Source organism: Homo sapiens, chromosome 2, assembly GCF_000001405.40.
Source record: "Homo sapiens chromosome 2, GRCh38.p14 Primary Assembly".
In the NCBI taxonomy this organism is placed as follows: domain Eukaryota; kingdom Metazoa; phylum Chordata; class Mammalia; order Primates; family Hominidae; genus Homo; species Homo sapiens.
The window spans coordinates 63106807-63123013 of record NC_000002.12 but is presented as its reverse complement, the minus strand read 5'-3'; the positions used below and the strand labels follow the sequence as shown (position 1 = coordinate 63123013).

The 16207-nt window shown below is 36.1% G+C and overlaps 1 protein-coding gene and 2 pseudogenes across 16 annotated transcripts in view; all 3 read left to right on the top strand.

Moving 5' to 3' along the window:
- Window positions 1–3455, top strand: part of WDPCP (WD repeat containing planar cell polarity effector) — a 721268-nt gene extending 717813 nt beyond the window's left edge. For all 15 annotated transcript variants that reach the window (NR_148705.2, NR_148704.2, NR_122106.2 and 12 more), the window contains one exon: window positions 958–3455. Coding sequence is in view for 12 of the 15 variants with exons in the window: in XM_047444629.1 (XP_047300585.1) it covers window positions 958–1193 (236 nt within the window). In the remaining 3 variants the exon portion in view is untranslated. The remainder of the gene's footprint in view (window positions 1–957) is intronic.
- On the top strand, window positions 3472–5163 carry DBIL5P2 (diazepam binding inhibitor-like 5 pseudogene 2; annotated as a pseudogene). Its single transcript, NR_036635.2, has one exon. The product of NR_036635.2 is annotated as a diazepam binding inhibitor-like 5 pseudogene 2 (transcript).
- Window positions 14585–14918, top strand: RPL27P5 (ribosomal protein L27 pseudogene 5; annotated as a pseudogene).

Here is a 16207-nt window from a genome sequence, read left to right as displayed (position 1 = left end):
CCTACATACATGTGTTGCCCTTATTTTTTAGCCGCATATCTGTTTCCTTTGATATGTGACTACTTAAAATAGTATAAATGCAGACTTTCTGAAAGGCTTTTCTTAGTAAAAATAACTTTTAAGATATAACTTACAGAATAACTTTAAATTTATTTTTTAAAATTACTTTCACCTATACTTTAAGTAAAATGTCTCCAATTATGACATGATAGTGTAAGTGCTGTTATCCCTACTCTCTTTACCTTTTACTTTTACCATTTCAACTCTAAGTAGGTTATCTTCAAATTTTAAAAACTGTCCCCACTGTATTATTTTTCACATAATATCACTCATCTTTAGTCTTATCTTCACACATCATCCAACTTCAGAAGCCCATAAGATCTTCTGTTTTTCTGTAACTGACAGGGATGGGCAGAAGGTGCAAAAGAAAGAATAACAAATGGGAAATAGATGAAGTTGTTAATATTTCTTTGCAGCTTCATAAAATGTTATGAAAGTCTTATAAAACCACAATCTTTTCTATTTTATAAACTATTATCTCAATAGCCATTATCAAATACTCAGTAAAACACCAAAATTAGGAAATATATGCTATATAATACCTTTTAGAACACACAGTATTTTAAAATCACACTGTAGAATCCAAATGATGACCCACAGTTTGCAATTTTTCATTGGAGGAACCCTCAGATGCTTCTAAATTTCAATTAACATCCTGTCCTTTCTTTGCCTTTTAATGCTTATTATTTCTTGACTAGTTTTTATAAATATCGTATCAAAATTTTGATGACCAAGTCAGGTAAGTATACAGTTATCTTATGTATCTATGTGCAGTACATTTTAAACTATTTTATTTTGTTTCACTATTTTTCAGTACTTAAAAATAATAAAGATACAAATGTTAAGTCAATTACTTTTTACTCTGCTTAAACATTATTTTTATTTGTTTATTTGCAGGAAATCAGAGATGGTGGTTCTCTCAAAATGATTCACTTTGGTCTGGTGTAAACATTAAGAAAAAAAGAAAACTGCCTTCTTCATATCTAAACTTTTCATGGCCTGATACAGACTTAAAATCCCCCGTGTGGATTTTTAACAAGAGACAGTATGAATCATATAAATTAGTTAAGAGTTTTGAGTTGAGTGTTTGTTTTCAAAATAAAGTTTTATTATTTCAAAAACATGCAGCATAACAGCAAAGTGATCGTAAGTAAAAGTCTTCAACCTACTTATTTTCAATAATGTAAAATTTTGAAAGTGTCTTAAATTGTATGTTAATTAGGTGCTACAAAAATAGAATATTTAAACTTTGTTCTCCCAGGTACTTTAAAAAAGGGGCAGTAGGGGGCAGGCATAGTGCTCATGCCTGTAGTCCCAGTGCTTTAGGAGGCCAAGGCTGAAGGATCACTTGAGCCCAGGAGTTCAAGACTAGCCTGTGCAACATAGTGAAACGCTGTCTCTAGAAAAAATTTTAAAAATTAGCCAGGCATGGTGGTACATGCTTGTGAAGCTGAGGCAGAAGAATTGCTTGAGCCCAGGAGTTCAAGGCTACAGTGAGCTGTGATCGCGCCACTGCACTCTAACCTGGGCAACAGAGAGTGACCCTGTCTCCAAAAAAAAAAAAAAAAAAAAAGAAAGAAAAGAAAGAAAGAAAGTCCTCTTCTGCTCTTGTTTACATTATTAATTTACATTACAAATACAGTATTTATTATGCAAATTTTTCAGCCCAGATCCATTGTTAGAAGACAATTCTCCATGGTTCTCTCGAATTACTGCTATGAGTAATTTGCCCTGACTGCCCCTTAGAACACAGATACTGTTTCCCTCTGGAGAAAGGGGCAGGCATGCTTATCAACTTTTATATGAGATTTGAGTTCTTTAAACTCAGAATGCCTCTCCTTTACACTGCCCATTGAGTGTGCAGGTGTCATCTAGCCCTCTTAACATTGCTCTATAGGAATAGGGCTCAGAGAATCCATGAAGAAAAGAAAAAAATGCCGATACCCTGGTTACTATCATTTGTCTCTGACTCAGGAGTCTCATGTCTTCTAACAGCATCCATGAAACTATAGTGTGGTAACTTGTTAGCTAGTAAGTAGGGTAAAATCTCATACCCTTCACAGTTATTGACACCCATTCTTTAGCAGATAACTGATATTTCACAATTATAGACATCTATAGGCCAGGCACGGTGGCTCACGCCTGTAATCCCAGCACTTTGGGAGGCCAAGGCGGGCGAATCACGAGGTCAGGAGATGGAGACCATCCTAGACAACATGGTGAAACCCCGTCTCTACTAAAAATACAAAAAAAAAAAAAATTAGCCGGGCGTGGTGGCGTGCACCTGTAGTCCCAACTACTTGGGAGGCTGAAGCAGGAGAATGGCGTGAACCCGGAGGGCGGAGGCTGCAGTGAGCTGAGGTCGCACCATTACGCTCCAGCCTGGGTGACAAAGTAAGACTCCGTTGCAAAAAAAAAAAAAAAAAAAATTATAGACATCTATAATAATAATCAACATTGTTTAATATTAGACAATAATTACATTATATAATTAAATCTTAGAGTTCAAAGTTAATCAGACTGAAGGCTTTTATACTTCAAATTTTTCTTTCTACTTCCCATTTATCTGTACCTCTACCAGAGGGTATGACAAAAAAAGGTGAAACTCAAATTAGATTTTTCATTTTGTTATTGCTCTGAAAAAATTTTAATAATGCATAACATGTAAGCCAAACTGAGTTACCAGCAAATTTTCATTCTCCTATTCCCAACCTTCTTTATCACACAGATAATCAAAAGTTAACTAATTTTTAGAGAAAAAATTGTATTTAAAAAAATAGGGTTTTGTCAAGATTGCAGAATTTTCTCCAGATTTTCCGGGTAAATAGTCATTAACCCAAAATACCTTTCCTGTGAGATACTAAAGATAAAATATGGATATTGATACATCTATGTTTTTCTACATAATGATAATAATAATGAAAATGTTTGCCAGTTATGTAGGTGAAAATTAAACAAATCATAGTTCTTAAAGTACCCATTTTCCCCACTTCACATACCTCTAGAAAAGTTAAATGTACAGAAAACCAAGTTTAGATAGTAAGAATATATTATGAATGATCTTTGATAATGTCCATGATTTATAAATGCTGTTATTTCCCAGATGTTGTAAATCTGAGAATATTAATTAAATTGATATTCCTCCTCTGCTAGAACCTGAAAGGATTATGAAGGGGCTACCATAGCTCTAAAGTAAGAAGAGTGGTATAGGCAGGAACAGCTAGGTAGTATCTGTCCTAGCACTGACAGGTTCACAGGTTGTCCTTTAGGAATAGACCCATGAGCTTTTTCAACTATTTTCCAGATTTCTCAGATCTGAGGTAATTTCCACAGTAATTTATATTAGCTGTCACATTGTGTCTTATTGCTAGAATAAACTTTGCTTGGAATGCTAATGTCTAAAAGTTTTTGCTTCATTAAAAGGCTGTGTAACCAAAACTTGGTATTATACTTTCTTCTTAGTATCTTGAAATGTTTGTTAAGGAGTTATAATTATACCACTCTCTACTGAGAGTTTGATCAGTGCTACAACACACATAGCCCTGTACCTACATAGGGATTCTCAATGAAACTCAGTGAGGAAGATACATCATCATCATCATCCCTACTCTATCGATGAAGAAACCTGATGAGCCTTCTAGCACCAGGTGTCACCTAGAAAGGACAGAGGGGCCTGGCCTCCCCTCCCACAATGTGCCAAGTGGAGTTTGAGCTGGCCCACACTGCCCTCAAGCAGCTGAAGGGTACTGTGTGCGATCAGGAGAAAACTGCTGGTGTACAGCTTCTGCAAACAGCCCACCCAGAGCGACTGCAACATCCCTGCCCCTTCAGCCTCAGATGTGAAAGCCAAGGCCAAGTAGGAGGCATGGAATGTGAACAAAGGGATGTCTAAGATGGACACCATGAGGATCTATGTTGCCAAAGTAGAAAAGCTGAAGAAGAATGAGGCTGGCTAAGGACACATTAGCAAACACAAGGAAAGCAGCATGGCTCCTCTGGTACAGAATGCTCTTCCTTAAAAACCTTGATGGCTGAAATGTCCTGAAACCAAAGCAAGTTTAGCTGAGACATCAATAAATCACTTAAACTGCATGAGAGTGACTGTCTGCTGCTGGAAAAGAGAAACACAGTGACTGTGAGTGCTCGGGAGGTGTCCAAATGTACAAACTGGTTTTTTGTATGGTTTTGAGTGGAGTTCCCAGCTTTCCTATTATAAGAGTTAGGTAGGCATTTGGCAGGAGTAGAGGGGTTAGGGGGAAAATGTGCTATGGAAATGCCCAAGGGCTGAGGTCAGTGAGACCATTCTCCAGTGACAGCCTCTTGGGAGGCTGAGGCTCCAACCCTTTACCTCTTCAGGGTTGATTCACTAATAACCCAGCACTATAAGGGGAAAGGGACTCTGTCCTCCAAAAAGCTGAAGTCAAGTCCAAAAGGCCCCATTGGCACACAGGCCCTAAGAAGTTAATGTTTTTAGGGAGACCAAGTTTTTAGTGATAATGTGGTGAAACAATTGATGCAGCACAATACAGCAGATGAGAAACAATGGAGCACATAGTGTCAAAATACCAGCCTCAGAAAGACGCATCTATGGCCTAGCAACCAAAATTTTCTTGAGGTTATTCTGCCCCTAACTCTGGTTTCTGCTTGGGGATGTTTGTGGAACAATATGCATATGTATGTATATGTGGGATTTGTTACAAGAACACAACATACCCCTCGACCTATGCAAGAGCCAGAGTGTCTAAGCCCAACTTCTACTCCTCACTGTTAGTTATCGTGGAGGCATCATTGCACAACCAATATGCCTGGTGGCTGGAGTATAGACTGCTAAATGGTATTCAGCGAAGCAGGTCTATAGTGACATGAGATTTCCTGGTACTTCTTCCTTAATTAAAAATTATATTCATAGATCATGACATCAGGTCAGTTCCAGTTCTTGCTGGGAACAATAATAGAAACAACAACCGTAAAGACTTCAGAGAACAGACCGGGCGTGGTGGCTTATGCCTGTAATCCTAGCACTTTGGGAGGCCAAGGTGGATGGATCACGAGGTCAGGAGATTGAGACCATCCTGGCTAACATGGTGAAACCCCGTCTCTACTAAAAATGCAAAAAAAAAAAATTAGCTGGGCCTGGTGGCACGTGCCTGTACTCCCAGCTACTTGGGAGGCTGGGGCAGGAGAATCGCTTGAAGCCAGAAGGCAGAGGTTGCAGTAAGCCGAGATCATGCCACTGGCCTCCAGCCTGGGCGACAAAGTGAGACTCCATCTCCAAAAAAAAAAAAAAAAAAAAGACTTCAGAGAACAAAGGCAACCAAACCTCACCATGTATCTTCAAGATATTCTGTTCACATATACATATTTGCAGGGAGTTAATATAGACAAAGTACATTACTTAAGAATGAAGCCTACCCAGGGCATCACAACAACTAAAGAACTATTTCTTGTAACTATAGACTGGGCAAGAGCCACAGTGTAGAACAGCAGTGCTGTTCTGTCTTCCTTGTAGGATGTTATGAAGACATTTTGATGCTTTTAGGATCATGATTCATGTTAAATGTAAATAGTAGAAATAATAATACATTTTGCTCCAAAATATGGTAACAACTTACAAGCTGTAATACATAGCCATACCACTCTTCAAATCATAGAACCTAAAAAGTAAAAATGTGCTGTAATTAGGACAGTAAAAAGTAACTGTAAGATAGATTAAGTTTAAAAAAGGAGAAACAATAGGATTTATATATGTGTATTTCCTTATGACGTCGTTACCTATAGGATGCAGGGGAAATGGGACTGATGCAGATGGGGTAGGAGCAAGATTTTTCTATGGTTACTGTGAAAAGAAAAGAAAATCTCAGGACTCACTAATGAAAAAAATTATACCATTCTGGCATATTAACTATTTAAGTTAATAGAGCACTTGAAAAGCAGCAGGTGAAAAAAAGATCGCTATGACATTCATGCTGGTTCCTAAGGCAAGAAATGAAATTCCTATATAAAAGATGCAACATTCTTACCATGGAGGACAAAAAGCTGAGGCCAAAGGAATTGTGTACAAACAAACCTAGTTACACCAACGCTTATCTTCCTGGCTACTTACCTACACAATTAGCTATCCTAGCCTAATCCCCTTTGCCTTATCACATTTTCCCAACTTACTGTTCTTTGTCCAATTCAGTATTTAAGTAATTGACTCTAACAGCTTCTTCAGTTCTTCATTTCTTTATGAAGGCTCCCATGCCACATAAAACTTATATTGAATAAATGTGCATGCTTTTCTCCCGTTAATCTAACTTATATCAGTTTAGTTATTGGGCCCAGTCAGGACCCTAAGAGAATGTAGGTGAAGTTTCACCATCTCTACATTAGTAAAGACTATCAAATTTACAACTAAGACTTTATTTTAAAACATACTAATTGGCCAGGCATGGTGGCTCACGCCTGTAATTCCAGCACATTGGGAGGCCGAGGTGAGCAGATCACCTGAGGTCAGGTGTTCAAGAACAGCCTGGCCAACATGGCGAAACCCCATTTCTACTAAAAATACAAAAATTAGTTGGGCATGTGGTGCGCACCTGTAGTCCCAACTACTCATGGAGGCTGAGGCAGGAGAATTGCTTGAACCCAGGAGGTGGAGGTTGCAGTGAGCCAAGATCGCACCACTGCACTCTAGGCTGGGTGACAGCATGAGACTCTCTATGAAAAAAAGAAAAAAAGAAACAGAAAGAAAGAAAATACTAATTAATTAATTATATTATTTAAATATATATATATATATATATACAAACAGACATATAGACCAATTGAAGAAATACAGAGCCAAGAAATAAACCTTAGAGTATATGGTCAAATTATTTTTGATGAGGGTGCCAAGACCATTAAATGGGGAGGGAAAGGGCAGTCTTTTCAACATATGCTGCTGCTGGGAAAACTGGATATCCACATGCAAAAGAATGAAGTTGGACCCTTACCTTATGCCATATACAAAAATAACTCAAAAGTGATCAAAGACCCAAACATAAGACCTGAAAATATAAAACTATTAGAAGAAAACACAAGGAAAGCTTCTTTACATTTGATTTGGTGATGATTTCTTGGATATAAAGCCCAGCAACAAAAGTAAAAACAGATAAACTGGACTCCAAATCAAAAACTTCTGTGCATCAAAGGACACTACCAGCAGATTGAAAAAGCAGTCTATGAAATGGAAGAAAACATTTGCAAGTCATATCTGATAAGGGCTTAATATCTAGACTATATAAAGAACTCCTACAACTCACACAAAAAATAGCAAAATATTTTTAAATGGGCAAAGAACTTGAACAGACATTTCTCCAAGGAAGATATACAAATGGCCAATGAGCACATGAAATAATGCTCAACATTGCTAATGTAGTCGCCAGTGGAAATGAAAATCAAAACCACAATCACATACTACTTTACATACCTTAGGATGGCTATTACATTATAAAAGAAAGAAAGAAAATAACAAGTGTTACCAGGGATGTAGAACATTTATACACTGTTGGTAGAAAGTTAAAATTGCACAGCCATTACAGAAAACAGTACGTTCATTCCTCAAAAAATTGAAAATACAAAGATCATATGATCCAACAATTCCACTTCCAGTATATACCCAAAAGAATTTTAAGCAGTGACTCAAATAGATATTTGTACACCCATGTTAATAACAGTATTGTTATTCACAATGGCCAAAAGGCAAAAAGAACCCAAATGTCCACCGACAGATACATAAACAAAATGTGGTGCTTATGTATGTCTGTACACACACACACACACACACACACACACACAATAGAACATTGAGCCTAAAAAAGGACGTAAATTGTGACACATGCTACAACATACATGAACCTTGAATATATTATGCTAAGTGAAATAAGTTAGTCACAAAAAGACAAATATTTTATGATTCCACCTATATGAGGTATCCAAAATAGTCAAATTCATAAAAACAAAAATAGAATGGTAGTTGCCAGGGGATGAGGGGAGAGGAAAATTGTGAGTTGTTATTTAATTGATAGAGAGTTCCAGTTTTGCAAGATAAAAAAAGTTCTGGAGGTTGGCTGCACAGCAGTGTGAATATACATAGCCCACTAAGCTGTACACTTAAAATGGGTAAGATGGTAAATTATATGTTATGTGTATTTATCACAATTTTGAGAAATATATATGTAACATAGTTTTTCCTTAATATGACTTTGAAGACTGAAATTCACTGAGATCTGCTATCTCCTAAAATAACTCCAAAAAAGCTGACTTTCAGAAGTAGCAAGATTTTGCTAAGAATATTTCTATATTTTAATAATCTACAACTATAACCCTAGTTACATAACTACCAATTTGCTTTTTTAAAAAAAATCATGGAAGAAAATCCAAAAGAATTCACAAGAAATCTGGAATAAGCAATTATAGCAAGATTGCAGGATACAAAGCTAATATACAAAGGTCAATTGCTTTCCTATATACCAGCAATGAACAAGTGCAATTTGAAATAAAAAACACGATACCATTTACATAAGCACCAAAAAACTGAAATACTTAGGTATAAATCTAACAAAATATTTAGAAGATCTATATGAGGAAAACTATAAATAAATTGGAAGATATTCCATATTCATAGATAGGAAGACTTAATATTATCAAGACATCAGTTTTTCCAACTTGATCTATAAATTCAATGCCATCCCAATCAAAATCCCAACAAGTTATTTTGTAAACATGAACAAACCAATTCTAATGTTTATATGCAGAGGCAAAAGACTCAGAATAGCCAATACAATATTGAAGGGGCATAAAGTTAGAGGACTGACACTACTCAACTTAAAGACTTACTGTAACACTACAATAATCAAGACAGTGTGGTACTGGTGAAGGACAAATAGGTCAATGGAATAGAATAGAGAGCACAGAAACGGAGCCACTAAATACAGTCACCTAATCTTTGACAAAGGAGCAAAGGCAATACATTGTAAAAAAAAAAAAAAAAAAAAAAAAAAATATATATATATATATATATATAGCCTTTCCAATAAATGATGTTGGAACAATGGACACCCACATGCAAAAGATGAATCTGGGCCGGGTGCAGTGGCTCACGCCTGTAATCCCAGCACTTTGGGAGACCGAGGTGGGCGGATCACCTGAGGTCAGGAGTTCGAGACCAGCCTGGCCAACATGGTGAAACCCCATCTCTACTAAAAAAGATACAAAAATTAGCTGGGCGTGGTGGCAGGCGCCTTAATCCCAGCTACTTGGGAGGCAGAGGCAGGAGAATCATTTGAACCCAGGAGGCGGAGGTTGCAGTGAGCTGAGATCAAGCCATTGCACTCAAACTTGGGGGACAAGAACGAGATTTCTCTTATTAAAAAAAAAAAAAAGATAAATTTAGAGGAAGACCTTCACAAAAATTAACTCAAAATGTATCACAAGCCTTAATGTAGAATACAAAACTATAAAACTCCTAGAAGATAACAGGAGAAAATCTAGATGACCTTAGATTTGGTGATGACTTTTTAGATGTGACACTGAAGACATGATTTATAAAAGAAAAGAGTCAATTAGCTGGATTTCATTAAAATTAAACATTTCTGCTCTACAAAAGACACTGCCAAGAGAATGAAAACATGGTCACAGACTAGGAGAAAATATTTGCAAAAGACCTATCTCATAAAGGACTATTATCCAAAATATACAAAGAATTCCCAAAACTCAAAAATAAGAAAACAACCCAATTAAAAAATGGACCACCATCCTGGCTAACACGGTGAAACGCCGTCTCTACTAAAAATACAAAAAATTAGCTGGGCGTGGTGGCGGGCACCTGTAGTCCCAGCTACTCAGGAGGCTGAGGCAGGAGAATGGCGTGAACCCGGGAGGCGGAGCTGGCAGTGAGCTGAGACCGCACCACTATACTCCAGCCTGGGCGACAGAGCGAGACTCCATCTCAAAAAAAAGAAAAAAAAAAAAAGAAAAGGACCAAAGACCTTAACAGACTTCTCACCAAAGAAGACATAGAGATGCAAAAAAAAGCATATGAAAAGATGCTCCACATCATATGTCATGAGGGAAATGCAAATTAAAAAAAGAAGATAACCACTGCACACTTATTAGAATGGCCAAAATCCAGAACATTGATAGCACCAAATGCTAGCAGGGAGGTGGAACAAGAAATATCATTTATTGTACATGGGAACACAAAATGGTACAGGCAGTTTGGAAGAAAGTTTTGTGGTTTCTCAACAAAACTAGACATACTCTTACCATATATATCATTCAGCAATTGAGCTCCTTGGTATTTATCCAAAAGAGTGGAAAAATTATGTCCACACAAAAGCTGCACATGGATGTTTATCAAAGTTTTATTCATAAGTAACAAAACTTGGAAGCAATCAAGACGCCCTTCAGTAGGTGAATGGATAAACTGTAGTACATCCAAATAATGGAGTATTATTCAACACTAAAATAAATTAGCTATCAAGCCATGAAAAGACATGAAGAAACCTTAAATGCATAATACCAAGTGAAAGAAGTCAATCTGAAATGGCTACATAATGTATGATTCCATCAATATGACATTCTGGAAAAGGGGACTCTGGAAAACTATGAAGACAATAAAAAGATCAGTGGGTTCCAGGGGTTACAGGAAAAGGAGGGATGAACAGGTGGAGCACAGAGGATTCTTAGGGCAGTAAAACTATTTTATATGATACGATAGAGTAGATACAGCTCATCATACATTTGTCAAGACCCAGAGAATGTACAACATCAAGAGTAAACCCTAATATAAGCTATGGACTTTGGGTGATGATATATCAATGGAGAGTCATCATCTGTAACAAATACACCATTCTGGTGGGGGATGTTGATGGGGGGAAGCTATTGCATCTGTGGGGACAGTACATATATGGGAAATCTCTGTACCTTCCTCTCAACTTTGTTGTGAACTTAAAACTGCTCTAAAAAAATTAGGTCTTGCCAGGCGCGGTGGCTCATGCCTGTAATCCCAGCACTTTGGGAGGCCGAGGCTGGTGGATCACAAGGTCAGGAGTTCGAGACCAGCCTGGCCAATATGGTGAAACCCCATCTCTACTAAAAATACAAAAATTAGCTGGGTGTGACGGCATGTGCCTGTAGTCCCAGCTACTCGGGAGGCTGAGGCAGGAGGATCACTTGAACCTAGGAGGCGGAGGTTGCAGTGAGCCGAGATCATGCCACTGCACTCCACCCTGGGTGACAGAGCAAGACTCTTGTCTAAAAAAAAAATTAGGTCTTATAAAAAATAAGTCATGAAGTTTACTACTCAGGAGGCTGAGACAGGAGAATCGCTTGAACCCAGGAGGTGGAGGTTGCAGTGAGCCGAGATCATGCCACTGCACTCCAGCCTGGGTGACAGAGTGAGACTCCGTCTAAAAAAAAAAAAATTAGGTCTTGTAAAAAACAAGTCATGACGTTTAAAATACAATTCATTTTAAAAATCAGATTTTAACAATCTAGTTCAGTATTCTACTTTTATTCTCAACTTTTCGAAAAAAGCAGTATTCCTTTATCCTCTTACAATGGATTCTAACATAAATTACATAATATTGTTCATGTGTTATGTAAAAGTTTATTAATACTTTTAACTTTTTTTTTGAGACAGAGTCTTGCTTTGTCACTCAGGCTGGAGTGCAGTGGCACGACCACAGCTCACTGCAGCCTCACCTCCCAGGCTCACACAGTTCTCCCGGCTTAGCCTCCTGAGAAGCTGGGACTATAGGTGCATGCCACCACACCTGACTAATTTTTAATTTTTTTATAGAGACAGGGTCTCACTATGTTACCCAGGCTGGTCTTAAACTTCTGAACTCAAACTATCCTCCTGCCTCAGCCTCCCAAAGTGCTGGGATTACAGGCGTGAGCCACTGTGCCCACCTATTTATTTTCAACTTTTTAATTAATTTTTTATGTTAATATTTCTGCTCTATAGCTGAACTATTTACCTAAATATGATACATTTAAATTCTTTCATGCAACCTCCCGTTAGGACAAAAACACATTGCTTTACTTTATTTAAATTTCCTTTAACTATTAAATACACATTAATTTCAAACTATAATCCTCACTGCTATCTTTATTTTTCACACTCCCTTTTAACATTCATTTATATGCATATAATTTTACCTATTTCATTCAAAAACATATAAGCAAATGGAGTAATGTTCTCATAGTATTAACTATTTTGTTTAAATGCAAAAGTTTATCTGTACTTGTTTCATGAGAAAATTTAAGTTTAAAATAATGCAGAAACTTTTATATAAAAATACAAAATTATCCTCATTCAGTAACTTTAACACACTTTAAGCCTAATAAAGTGGGAAGAATCACAGAATATGTATATTGTTCTATTTCACCACATAAGCTATCAGAGATACCTTTTCCATGAATCCTTATGAAACTCTGAGAAAAATGCGTGATTATGAGGTTTATTTAAATTTAATTTGGAGAATTATACAATCAGTCAAGAAGCATACATTCTTCATTCTACATAAAATAATGAAATGGTTACTTATCCATTGAATTTTTTTGGTGAATTACAGTCATATTTCTATCAGGTCAAGTGACAATCTATGTTTGAGAGATTAATCTGACACAAGACAGTGAAGCTTAATCCTTCAATATATCATAATCTACTTACTCTGTATGCTAGAAGAATTTCAGATTTTAAAATTACACAGGAAGTAATGCTAAACATGTACATAGAACAAAAGCAATTTTCCTAAAATATTTAGTTTTAATATCTACATACCATGAATGGACTTATTTTAAAAGGTGAAATACAATGCTTATTTAATTTTATGGGGTAGAATTAAAATCATCATTTGATAACATTTTATAATTTTTTAAAACTTTTTAAAATTTTTGAGGGTACAGAGTAGATGTATATATTTACAGGGTACATGAGATGTTTTGATACAGGCATGCAATGTGAAATAAGCACATCATACAAATGGGGTATGTATCCCCTCAAGCATTTATTCTTTGAGTTACAAATAATCAAATTACATTATTTAGGTTATTTAAAAAATAAATTTAAGTTATTATTGACTATAGTCACCCAATTGTGCTATCAAATAGTAGGTCTTATTCATTCTTTCTATTTTTTTTTTTGTACCTATTAACCATCCCTACTTCCTCCCTAACCTCCTACTACGCTTCCCAGCATCTGGTAACCATCCTACTACTCTCTGTGTTCGTGAGTTCAATTGACATGATTTTTAGATCCCACAAATAAGTGAGAACATGCTGAAATCTTCAATCCAGAGATTTACTTAAGATAATTCTATCTAGACATCAATATGTTCTCATTTTGTGACCACTCTATGAAGCTACCATTACTGTGTTCACATAATTCACAAGTACAGTGGAAGACACTGAGACTTAAAAAAAAATCCTTTGCTTTATCTGTGATTATTCACATTACATATAAAAATTAAAATTATTCACAACATGTATCAGAGATGCCAATAATTTCTTCTTTGAGAATCTGTCCTGCTTATAACCCTGGAAGGAACAGATCCTTTGTACTATTTGACCCTGTTCCTTCACTCCCAACCCTGTCCCCAGAACATAAATGACTGAAGCAATTAGATACTCTTTCTTGGGGATTTGGAATTAGAACATGAACACTTAATTACGTGTGGGAGAGCCAGAAGTCATGTAGACTGTGGGTCTGAGGCTATCATTCTGAGATGGTCACGATGAGACCGTAACTAAGAACTTCCAAAAACATGACAACAAAGAAACAACCCCAAAACTCCTTATATTCCTTTTAAAATATCTAAGAGCTGCTGCTTTTTCAAGTGTGAGAAACCAGGGGAAAATGGCACCATTAAATAGATATTGTCTTCTACCTCTCAGCAATCTTCAGACAGTCACTAAAGCTATGAAACTTCCTCAGCTCAGAAAACTCTTTTTATTCTCATTCTTACAGAATGTTAACGTGAAGATTTAATCTGGGTATCTACCTTATTTACTTCTTTCAGTTTAGTGTGATTTTGTTTTTAAAATTCATTAATATTAGATTATTTTATTATATTATTTAAACATTGTATCACTTTATTATTCAATCTTTTACCTTCTGGTTTTAATTGGCTTATATTGATTAATCTTAGCATACATTATTGTCTTACCATTTTTGCTATCTTATCACTTTAAACTCATATTTTTATCCTCTTATGAATACTTAAGTTTGCATTCATTTCTTTTTATTTCTTTCATATGCAATAGATATCTTAAATTTGTTTATTGATAATTATACAAATGTATGGAGTACATATGATAGTTTTATACATGCATACAATGTGCAATGATCAAATCAGGGTAATTAGGATATCTATTACCTCAAACATTTATAATTTGTTTTGGGAACATCTCAAATCTTCTAACTTTTTTGAAATATACAGTTAGCAGAAGTGCCCCTTCTTCCTTTCTGATGTAGGCCTACTTGGTTGTTGTCGAAATGGGCAAGTTTGTGAAACCTGGGAGAGTGGTGCTGGTCCTGGCCTGATGCTACTCTGGACTCAAAGCCAACACATCATCATGTAGAACATCGATGACGGCACTTCAGATCACCCCTACAACCGTATCTCTGGTGTCTGGAATTGACCACTGTCCCTACAAAGTGACAGGTGCCATAGGCAAGAAGATCACCAAAAGGTCAAAGATCAAGTCTGTTGCGCAAATTTATAAATACAATCATTTCATGCCCACAAATACTCTGTGATATCCCCTTGGGCAAAACTGTCTTCAACAAGGATGGCTTCAGAGACCCTGCTCTTAAACACAAGGCCCAGTGGGATTATTGTTAACTATAGTCATGCTACTGTGCTATACAACCCTAGCACTTTTTCCTTCCATCTATTTTATACCCATTAACCAACCTTTCTTCCACTGCAACCCTTCCCAGCTCTAGAACCATCAGAGAACAGATATCTCTTAATCTTATTATTTTTCCTCTAAATTTAAGAATATATATTCATGATGGAACATTTGAAAAAATTACGTAAGTTATTAAAAAATAAAATAAAAAATGTGTGCTTCCTTTCATTGTCATTATAAATATATTTTTCTTATAAAACTAGGGTCACATAATATGTATAGTTTACCATCCTGTTTTTTGTAATGAGCATTTTGTAATTACACTTAAACATTTATCTGTTGATTAACATTTTAATCACTTTTCAGTTTAAGGTTTATATTAATACTAATGTCTTTTTGTTGTTTATATATACATATTTCTGGTTATTTCCTTAGGACAAACTGGAATGTTGTGTGAAAGAAAATAAGTATTTTTAAGAATTGTAAAATACATTACCACATTGTTTTCCACGAAGTTTTATAAATTCTGAGGAAACATGTTTGTATGTGGCATTTTTTAAACTGAATCCTCAATATATCGGTTTCATTTTTCTTTGTAAATTTGACAAGCTATTTTCATTGCACTTATTATATTGTGAACAATTTTTCAAATATGTCTCATTTTATTTTTTGAAAACTTTATATTCTACCTTCTAAAGTAGAAATATCTTTATTAATTTTTCTAAGTACAAAAATTATAGGTCTTCCGAGAGCTGGTTGGAAGGCAGAGTAAAACCACATCACAGTTTCTCTTTGTCAAAGCCTAACAAAAGCAATTTAAGAGTACTTTAAATGGCAAAAAAAAACAAACAGTAAAGGCTAAACGATATGCTATGAATCTTCAAAAAATAATAACTAAGGAAATGTGTGGGATGGCTATAATCTCTATCCCAAAGAAGAGGTTCTAAGAAAAGAAGCAGCTTCAGAAAAATCATGAGGCGAGTTGATTCAAGATGACTGACTAGATCCTACTAGTATGCACCTCATCCATGGAAAGGAACCAAATATCATATAGATACTTACAGTTAGAATAGATCCTCTAGGAGAAAACACTGGAATTCAACCGAGAAGTTCTAGGAAGCACCGAAAGCAAGGAAAGGACAGAAATGAGGCAGCCTCCTTGGCCAAGATGCACTGGAAGCCAGGAGAAGCTCTGTGACACAGAGAAAAGGTAAGTCAGAGACCCCAAGGGTCCACACTCCTGCCACAAACTCTTACAATCCTA